Here is a 9,479-nt window from a genome sequence, read left to right as displayed (position 1 = left end):
AGCACTTGCACAAAACAAAGGGGGAGGCGCCAGTGCCCTCACTGCATGCCTGCATGTCTTTGAGGCCTTCATGCTTGGCTGGGAAGGTGCCGGAGGCAAGGGAGGTGTGATGAATATGTGGGTTTCTTCTAGCTCATAAGCTCATAGGTTTGTTTTTTTTTTTGAGGCAGAGTTATATTCTGTTGTCTCAGGCTGGATTGCAGTGGCGTGATCTCAGCTCACCTGCAACCTCCACCTTGTGGGCTTCTGCCTCAGCCTCCCAAGTAGTTGGGGTTACAGGCGCCCACCACCACTCCAGGCTAATTTTTTTTGTATGTTTAGTAGACACGGGGTTTCACGATGTTGGCCAGGCTGGTCTCCAACTCCTGACCTCATGAGATCTGCCCACCTCGGCCTCTGAAAGTGCTGGGATTATAGGCTGGAGCCATTGCCCAGCCTTCACAGATGGTTTTCAAATGGAAGTTTTGAACTTCTGTATTTTTGGGTCATTCCTAAAAATCAATTCCACTTGGAAGCAAAATTCCATGTAAGTCTCCTAAGGTAGAACGATAGGTAGAGATTGAGAGCTAACATGAGAAGTTTAAATGAACTCTTAAATATATCACGTTTTGGTAGTTCGAAGCTCCAACATGATGATAGCAAGTATTCAAGCTGCTTCCAAGTGGTGTACCTGAGCGAGTTAGAAACGCCACACTTGGAGACGAGTTCAGGAGTCCTTTATTAGCCGGCGACCGAGAGACGGCTACCGCATGAAAGTATCTCGGCCTCGAAGAAGGAGCTAGATTTTCTTTTATACTTTGGTTTGGAGAGGGGAGGGGGATTCTAGCTGCAGCCATCTTAGGGAAGAAAAACAGACAAAAAAGTTAAAGACAAATGGTTACAGGAAAACAGTTCCAGGTGCAGGAGCTTCAAATTCATCACAAAGTGACAGGTGAGGGGGCTCTGGGTGTTATCTACCGGACAAACATGGGGGCTTGATGGTACCATCTCTGAGTAAATTGCTGGGAACTGGACATCGCTTGCCTCAGCACCTTATCAGTTAACTGCACTCTTTGATACGTTGAGAGCTTGCACAAGTTAAAGTCCTTGAGGAAAGGGGGGTGGGTAAGGAGCCCTTGATGTCTTGTAAATGAAGGAGCCAAATGGAGTTGGCCTGGTTTTCTCAGCGAAGGGAGTCTTCATATTAAAAACAAGGTTAGGCATGTAAGGGAGAGTCTATTCGTGTTAATACAAGGTTGGGTATCACAAAAGCAGTCCTGAAAAGCACGCTCCCGGGGTTCCTTCAGCAGATGCTCAGGGGTGCTGCAGTGTGGGAACTGCCGCTACTACTTTCATCCCATTAGATTCAAGTCCCTGATAATGAAATTAGAATGTAGTGTCTGAACTAGGCTGTCACATAGGCTTGTGCCTTTTTTTTTTTTTTTTTTTTGAGACGGAGTCTCGCTCTATCGCCCAGGCTGGAGTGCAGTGGCGGGATCTCGGCTCACTGCAAGCTCCGCCTACCGGGTTCACGCCATTCTCCTTCCTCAGCCTCCCAAGTAGCTGGGACTACAGGCGCCCGCCACTACGCCCGGCTAATTTTTTTTTGTATTTTTAGTAGAGACGGGGTTTCACCGTTTTAGCCGGGATGGTCTCGATCTCCTGACCTCGTGATCCGCCCGCCTCGGCCTCCCAAAGTGCTGGGATTACAGGCGTGAGCCACCGCGCCCGGCCGCCCTTTAAAGCGAAGTGTGGATAAGCTTTCTCTTTTCTGCGATTACACGAGCTTTTCTTGAGTTTGTTGTTGGGGTAGAGCTAGGTAGGGTGGACAGAGTGGCTTAGTATCGGTCATTTCTAACCATCTGCCCACAGGAGCAGTGCATGCAGGAGACATGGAGGGGAGGGCTTTGCAGATCTACCTTGCTTGCCCCTACCAGGACTGGACACTAGCAGAGGGAAGGGTCTGGAATGTGTATTGTTGGTTTTGTCTTTGGCAGGTCTAGAGAACAGCAGTTGTCGGGGGAGGCAGTGTTGAGAGTTGTTGAGCTGTGTTCTAAGCTTGGTTACTGCCCTTGAGATCTTGCGTTAATAGTTTGGTACTGAGGCCCAGTATTGAGAAAGATTGAAGGTCCCTTCTCTGGGTTCTTTAGTTAACTGTGGTACATTTAAGGATAAAGCTTGCCCTGTTAGAGAAGGGAGTAGAACTAGAAACTTGGAGTAAGGTTAAACTAAATCCAGAGCCATACGGCTAGTCTAGGGCAGGGGCGGTGGCTAACGCCTGTGATTTCAACACTTTGGGAGGCTGAGGTGGGTGGATCACCTGAGGTCAGGAGTTCGAGACCAGCCTGGCCAACATGGTGAAACCCTGTCTCTGCTAAAAAATACAAAAATTAGCTGGGCATGGTGGTGCACGCTTATAATACCAGTTACTGAGGCAGAGGTTGCAGTGAGCCAAGATCGTGCCATTGCACTCTAGTCTGGGTAACGAGCGAAATTCCTGTCTCAAAAAAAAGTCTAGAAGCATTATGGTTCTTTGGAATCTTATGCTCCATAGCTTGTTTGCAGTAACTTAACCTCCTGACCTTGTCAGTTGGAATCTGCATTTTAAACAAAATCCTGACCACTCACCCCTACCTCAGTTGACTTGGGAAGTGCTGCCTTAAAATATCTATCTTTCATTTCTCAGGCCTGGGTAAAGGTGGTATGGTAGCAGACCAGGGACTGGAGATTCCAGAGTTAGGGCTTGGAATATATTTCAGTTTCTGAGTAGGGAAGTTATCTTGACCAAATATTGCCAACTTTGAAAATTTCACTTAAACACTTGTGTTTATACCCAAGTGTCAGGCACAGAGGTGGGAACCTCCTGCATGTTTTTATACTGAGCTGTCAGAACAGACTTGAAGTAGGGGAGGGATAGATTATTCTGCTTTTGTGTGTGCAGATGAGAGCTAAGACTCAAGTGAACTGACTTGCCTAAGGCTGCCCAGCAAGTTAGGGGTCCAAACTGGGTGTATTGAAAAGGCACAGATGTCATATATGCCAGTTAGGGGTAGTGAGTGATAGGCAGTTTTTTCTGAAAGTTTGGCCCTGTATGAGACGGCAGCTGTTACGGTGAGGGGTGAGGAAAGGGGAGGGCTGCCAATGTGCTTGCCTAATAGGGTTGGAACCCTGCTAGGACATGGCTTTGGAGCAGGGCGGACCTCGTCTTGAAGTCTGGCCGCACAGTCCTAAGCGGTATAGGATGGAGGGGGAATCCTTGAGTCTTGCCCAAGCTCCCACCTTTTCCATCTTCAGAGCGGTTTGAGGGGAGGGAGCGGCAGAGGAGGAATTCAGTTGAGGGTGCCATGCAAGCATCTACCAGGGCTGACCAGGTCGTGGGGGAGCCTGCTTCGGAGGAAGAGCCCAAAGGAGGAGTGGAATCCTGAGGCCTGGATTTGGCGAGGGTAGGAAGCCCGTGGGAAGGGAGGGTAGGGTCGCGGACAAGGTATGTGTATAGAAGGTGGAGAAGGATGAGGCCTGGAAGACTTGACTGTTGGCTGTCTGGACTTGATAATGCTGTTGTCTCTACCGGAAGGGAGCCCCGGGCCATTGGATCTTTGGGGGTGGGGGCCTCCGAGGGAGGGACTGGAAGCCAGTCGTAGCGCTGCATTTGAAATGTGAAAAATGGCTGCCTGGCACGTGCCTTTTCACAGGTGTCTCCATCTGTAACCTATCAAACTCCCAACTATGTACGTGAACGACTCTTGCACTTTGGTGACAGGCTTGGGGTCACCTCCTCTGCCTGTTGACGGCAGGCTGACCCTGCAAACTGCCCTTGGCTCACCAGGCTGCCCTGCAGGCTCTGGGGCAGCACCAGCAGCCTCTCACTCACACGGGGCTCGGGCACGAGGGGCGCTCTGAGGCCTCCTCCGGTGCGGTGGGCTCTTTGGAAGTTGACACAAGCTTCTGCACGCACCAGAGTGAAAAATAAATGATTTTATTGCAGGGCCAATGATAGGTAGTCACAAGGGCATGAAATGGCAGATCTCTTGTCTGAAGCAGAGAAGGCACACTGGCAGACTCCATGTGTGTCAAACGCTGTGCATGAATCAGGTTTTTAGAAGGAAGGTAGGAGAGGAAAACTACTCACTAGCAGAACTGAACTGCTGTAAAATAGGTTAAATTCTTTGAAAAGTGAAAAATGATAGTAGCAAAATCATGAAGTTGTATCTGAACCAGAGCCGTGATGTAACCAAGTAAGATGGAAGTTTCCATCCAGAGGAGTTAATTCCGAACAAGTCACAGAAAGGTGAGAGCTGCCGGTTCCGGCACGCTGTCTTCTGGAGTGCCAGTGACCGGGCAAGAAATTTGATTCTTTCCTTTGATACTCTTGGGAAAGAACACATTTCCCAAGCCCCTGGAGACCCACAGGGTTTGGCACTGTCCGTGAGGCTGTGCTCCTGAGGACGGACGTTCAGGAGGCCGTGGAGGAGCAGCGCTGCAGGAGCAGGGTGTGGCAGCTGTCGCACACTCGCACCGGCTTGGGGTAGGAGGGCAGGGCCAGCTCGTTGCTGGAGCAGGTGTTGCAGAAGATGTGGCCACAGTTCCGGCAGTGGTGCTACAGGACGGGAAGAAGGCGGTCACAGGACACCCGGGGAAAAGCCATCCGCACACCCTCCCTGCTTCCTGACCCAGAAGCGCATCATTTGCTGGGAATGGGTTCTTATGTTTCTGTGGGGTGGTGAGGGGCTGTGTGCAAACAAGGGTCTTTTTTTTTTTTTTTTTTTGAGATAGAGTCTTGCTCAGTCGCCCGGGCTGCAGTGCAGTGGCGCGATCTCAGCTCACTGCAAGCTCTGCCTCCCAGGTTCACGCCATTCTCCGGCAGTAGCTGGGTCTACAGGTGCCCGCCACTATACCTGGCTAATTTTTTGTATTTTTAGTAGAGACGGGGTTTCACCATGTTAGCCAGGATGGTCTCGATCTCCTGACCTCGTGATCTGCCTCCGCCTTGGCCTCCCAAAGTGTTGGGATTACAGGCGTGAAACACCGCGCCCGGCTTTTTTTTTTTTTTTTGAGTCTCTGTCGCCCAGGCTGGGGTGCAGTGGCGCAATCTCGGCTCACTGCAACCTCTGCCACCTGGGTTCAAGCGATTCTCCTGCCTCAGCCTCCCAAGTAGCTGGGATTACAAGTGCCTGCCACCGTGCCCGGTTAGTTTTTGTATTTTTTTAGTAGAGATGATGGGGTTTCACCATCTTGGCCAGACTGGTCTTGAACTTCTGACCTCGTGATCCACCCACCTCAGCCTCCCAAAGTGCTAGGATTACAGTCATGAGCCACCGTGCCCGGCCTAAGGGTGTTTTTAAGACAAAAAGTTTACTTTTGCTGTACTTCATCACTAAGCCAGTGAGCTGCTAGTCCATGTTACAGGAAGAGTCTGGTTCGTTCTCTTTGCTGCATTCCAAGGGGGTGGAGTAGATCCCTTTCTAAACAGGTTCCCTGGGTGCCTGATAAGACATCAAGATGAGCACCTGTGCAGCCTCTGCTTCTGACTCCACAGATGGGGACAGCCAGGCCTTGTAGACACATGTGATCTCAAAGGCAGCCTCAGGACGTGGTTTCTAGCTCTGAGCTTACTGCAAGGCACTGCCTGAAACTCGGGTTGGGGAGCGGGTGGGGTAGCTGTGGCTTCCTCTCTTCCACAGAGCTAGGCTGTTGATGGGAACAGACAGAACATGGCTGTGGCAGAAAGGTGGGTGGCGCTGGCAGTGTTTCCTTTAGCTCCCAGTTTTGCTTATACCCAACTCTTCCCCTACCCAGCTGGTCTTGGTGAGACTGTTAATAAGGCCCAGTCAACCCTAGACCCAAGGGTGAGCCTAGGACCTTGTTTCCAGAACCTAAAGGGCAGGGGCAAGCACGCTGCCTAGATCACTAGTGATTTTTGGTGACCTGCTGCCCTGTAGGTTCCCCATAGATTGTTTTTGCCTAAGTTGGGCCAGATTTTGTTCCTGCCGCATACAGAGAATTTTCAATGACACTCCCCTAGAGCAGCTCTGCACACAAGGAGCCCCATCTCCCCAAAAATCATTGTCAATCACTGAAAGGATGTGCTGGAGACCAGGGGCCTATGACTGGCCAAGGCCTCCCAGAAAGAGGGTGCCAGGATGGAAAGCCATCTGCACAGGCAAACAGGAGAGGCGGGGCTGCCCATCTGCCACAGTCAGCACAGTCACCGGGCAGTGAGCCTGCTCTGATATGGGCTTCTGGAACCAGAGAAAGGGGAATCCAGCGGGCAACGACTCAGGGCACTGGGAGGGTGGGTGGAGCCCCCACGTACCTTTCTCCGGGAAATGGAGAACTCCTTCTCACACTGCCTACAGTGTGTCGCTTCGTCATCTTTCAGCCAGGCGTGGCCCTGAAGAGGAAAGGACATTCTAGAATCCACTTTCTGTCTAAGCCCCTGATGAGTGGGTAGCTGCGTTCTGGCCACATCCATTGTCCCTCATAGCACCTGTTTCCTAGTGAGGCACTGTTTCTCCATCAGATGGGGCCTCACAGGACTGTCATCAAGGGGCTCTTTCCCCGTCTGGCCGCAGCCGGGATTTCTGCATCCTAGCTCCGTGCTCCACCTCTTGGCCTCTGCAGGCTGCCCTGGGGCCTCCAGGCGGTCTCCAGCATCTGCTCACTCAGGCACACTCCCACTTTCAATCAGTTCCCTTTGGCTGAAGTAAGCAGAGCGAGCTTCTGGTGCCTGCAACCCTAGACCCTGCCTGAGACACTGGCCGAAGTGCTAGCTGAACTGGCAGGCGCGGAAGAAGGGCCAAATCTGAGTGAGACTAAGACACTTGTTGACGCTGATCCTTGTGGAGAGACAGAAGGTGATGGACAGCGGGCACTGCGTCCCACAGGCCTGAGGAAGCCCTTCTCCATGCGGGCCAAAGCCCTGATTCTTGACCAGCCCTGGGGAGCACATGGACTCCATTCCACAGGGGAGGCGGCTGAGGCTTTGAAAGGTGGCCCCTCAGAGGGCTTTCTCAGGGCGAAGCAGCACCTGTGATTTATTTGGGCTTAGGGACTGGGGTGTTCCAGAGAAGTCAAAGGCATGAGGTACTTTTCTGGCCTGTTAACATCTGCTGGACAAGATTTTCTTGCTGACAAATAGATCCTCACAGACTGAGCTAGAGCCATATACCCTTGGGGCTGCCAGTGTGTGCCCAGGACATTCATCCTGACATCAAAGAGCTCTGGCGGCTCTAGAGTCCTGTTTTATGATTTCTATCCTCTGATGCTGTGAAACTGATATTACCTAGAAGTCCCGGCTGCTGTTAGTTGCTGCCCCTGACCTGGCACTTGGAAGTTAGATGCCCAGAGACATCAGGGTCCCTGCTCTGCACCACGTGGAACAGTGTGCAAAGGGACTGCTTTTGCATTGCTGCCACGGCACAGCTGAGGCCGAAGCGGGGTGCTCCTGCAGGCAAGGCTGTCTTGAAGGCCAGGCTGCCGTGCCCCCGAATGTCTGCCTCCTCTCCCACACTCTCCGCCCTGCAGCTCAGCCTGGCACCCGCACCCACACCGGGCCACCTGCAAACTCCTGCTTTTCGGTGGAATGTGTCATTCTGCCCTCCCCACCAGGGTGCGGAAACCTGGCCCAACTCAGGGCTTGGCTTGAGTGGTCCCTAGCAATGGCACAGGGCACTGCAGTGGGGCTGGCTGGCCTCTGGCCCCTCACTTCAACAGAAGGGCCTGTTTTCCACTGTTTAAAGATATCCGCGGGTCCCTCCTCTCCGCCACCTGCTTCCCCCTTAGGGAATGCCCATCAGGCCTATTTTGAAAGCACAGCTGATGGTGGAGGAACTGGAGTCGGAAGACCTAGGCTCAGCTTCGGCCACCTGTCAGCATCGCCCTCAGCCGAGGGACACGTTTCTGAGCAGCGTTTGGCTTCTCTGTCAATACGTCATCACCACTGCCTCAACCACACGCTCTCACCTGACTGTTGGGATACTTAAACGTACGAGCACACGGGCAGTCAGCACAAGCTGACAGCAAAGAAGTGGTTCTTAGCAAGGCAGTACCTTCAGTGCCTGGTTCACTTCTTTTATATCTTCCATCTTCAGCTTGGACCTAAGGAAAAAAAAAAGGCCATTTCATAGCAGTGAGAGAGAGTGAGGCTCTGAATCCCTAACACAGCTGGCTCTCAGGACTAGCTTTGTGAGGATACCGGACTTGTGAGGAGACCCAGAACGTGAGTTGTTAAAATGCCTTCCGCCTCTGTACAATCCCAGAGTTGCCTCATCACACTGGCTCCCGTCTGCTGAGGGCTGAGGCTGAGCCTGGGACTGCATCTGGCACGAGAACACACTGCTTAGCCTGCAGGGGCTCAAAAAGACTTTGAGGGAGGCTGAGGCGAGAGGATGGCCTGAGGCCAGAAGTCCAAGACCTGGCCCTGTTCTGCACTAGTCTCTACCGCTCTCCCCAGCAGGAACCTGAGTCTGCAGGCTTCTCCCCGGCCTCCATTCTGCTGCCTGCTGTCTGGAAGGGGGAAGGCTCAGATGGCATAGCCATTTGTTCTTGCTCCATTCTTGTTCAGTGTCAGAACAATTCCTTTGTTTACACAAGAGACAGGACTGAACATGGTCTAAATTGGCAGAACTAAACCAAATAAAATGAAGCAGTTTGTGCAATTGAGGGAAACAGTCTGATCCTTTTTTTTTTTTTTTTGAGACAGGATCTTGCTATATTGCCCAGGCTGGAATGCAGTGGTGCAATCATGGCTCACTGCAACCTTGACCTCCTGGGCTCAAGTGATCCTCTCACTTTAGTCTCCCAAGTAGCTGCGACTACAGGTGCATGCCATCACGCCTGGCTAATTTTTGTATTTTTTCTAGAGGTGGGGTTTTGCCATGTTGCCCAGGCTGGTCTTGAACTCCTGACCTCAATTGACCCACCTGCCTCAGCCTCCCAAAGTGCTAGGATTATAGGCCTGAGCCTTTTTCTTTTTTTCTTTTTTTTTTTTGAGATGGAGTCTTGCTGCATTGGCCAGGCTGGAGTGCGGTGGTGTGATCTCGGCTCACTGCAACCTCTGCTTCCTGGGCTCAAGCAATTCTCCTGCCTCAGCTTCCCAAGTAGCTGGGATGACAGGCGCCCGACACCACACCCAGCTTATTTTCTTGTACTTTTACTAGAGATGGGGTTTCACCATATTGGCCTGGCTGGTCTTGAACTCCTGACCTCAAGTGATCCACCTGCCTCGGCCTCCCAAAGTGCTGGGATTAGAGGCCTGAGCCCCCACGCCCAGCCTGGCCTGGGTCTTTCTTAAAAGCTGAGATCAGTCTGAACTATCATCAGATTAGACTCATCTCAGTGACAAAATGGCAGGTCTCTGGGAAACACAGGCTAGACTTCGAAGGGAGGGATTAGAAAACAGCATCAGGGCATTTAGAAAAATCCCTGTGGCTTTTACTAAAGATCGGGAGGCAGCTCCTTCCCTTCCTGGTCCGGCTGCAGAAACAGGAAATAGGCCAGCA

At 51.9% G+C, this 9,479-nt stretch overlaps 1 protein-coding gene and 1 long non-coding RNA gene across 16 annotated transcripts in view, besides 4 other annotated features; both read right to left on the bottom strand.

Moving 5' to 3' along the window:
• The window catches only part of LOC128966623 (uncharacterized), a 130,785-nt gene that overhangs the window by 39,290 nt on the left and 82,016 nt on the right, over positions 1-9,479 (bottom strand).
• Positions 65-124: an enhancer, noted in NCBI's record as "active region_23753". NCBI's record gives its function as "activates an Ori minimal core promoter by ATAC-STARR-seq in GM12878 lymphoblastoid cells {active_cell/tissue: GM12878}" and the evidence as "EXISTENCE:reporter gene assay evidence [ECO:0000049][PMID:35858748]".
• Positions 3,940-9,479, bottom strand: part of RUFY1 (RUN and FYVE domain containing 1) — a 59,459-nt gene continuing 53,919 nt past the window's right edge. For 10 of the 15 annotated variants that reach the window (NM_025158.5, XM_006714921.4, XM_047417777.1 and 7 more), the window contains 3 exons: positions 8,028-8,076; positions 6,293-6,370; positions 3,940-4,576 (listed from right to left, as the gene is read on the bottom strand). In NM_025158.5, coding sequence (NP_079434.3) covers positions 4,433-4,576; positions 6,293-6,370; positions 8,028-8,076 — 271 coding nt within the window. In that variant the 3' untranslated portion in view covers positions 3,940-4,432. Of the gene's footprint in view, positions 4,577-5,335; positions 5,463-5,486; positions 5,668-6,292; positions 6,371-8,027; positions 8,077-9,479 lie in introns of all 15 variants that reach the window. The other 5 variants (XR_245276.4, XR_007058642.1, XR_007058643.1 and 2 more) reach the window with 2 other exon arrangements.
• Positions 6,075-6,134: an enhancer, noted in NCBI's record as "active region_23752". NCBI's record gives its function as "activates an Ori minimal core promoter by ATAC-STARR-seq in GM12878 lymphoblastoid cells {active_cell/tissue: GM12878}" and the evidence as "EXISTENCE:reporter gene assay evidence [ECO:0000049][PMID:35858748]".
• Positions 6,202-6,702: an enhancer, noted in NCBI's record as "H3K4me1 hESC enhancer chr5:179034251-179034751 (GRCh37/hg19 assembly coordinates)". NCBI's record gives its function as "activates a minimal SCP1, AML or CMV promoter by ChIP-STARR-seq in primed H9 embryonic stem cells {active_cell/tissue: H9 hESC(primed)}" and the evidence as "EXISTENCE:reporter gene assay evidence [ECO:0000049][PMID:30033119]".
• Positions 6,703-7,203: an enhancer, noted in NCBI's record as "H3K4me1 hESC enhancer chr5:179033750-179034250 (GRCh37/hg19 assembly coordinates)". NCBI's record gives its function as "activates a minimal SCP1, AML or CMV promoter by ChIP-STARR-seq in primed H9 embryonic stem cells {active_cell/tissue: H9 hESC(primed)}" and the evidence as "EXISTENCE:reporter gene assay evidence [ECO:0000049][PMID:30033119]".

This window comes from Homo sapiens, chromosome 5 (assembly GCF_000001405.40).
Source record: "Homo sapiens chromosome 5, GRCh38.p14 Primary Assembly".
NCBI lineage: Eukaryota > Metazoa > Chordata > Mammalia > Primates > Hominidae > Homo > Homo sapiens.
Note: the sequence above shows the minus strand (reverse complement) of the source record. Positions and strands in the feature narration are given on the sequence as shown.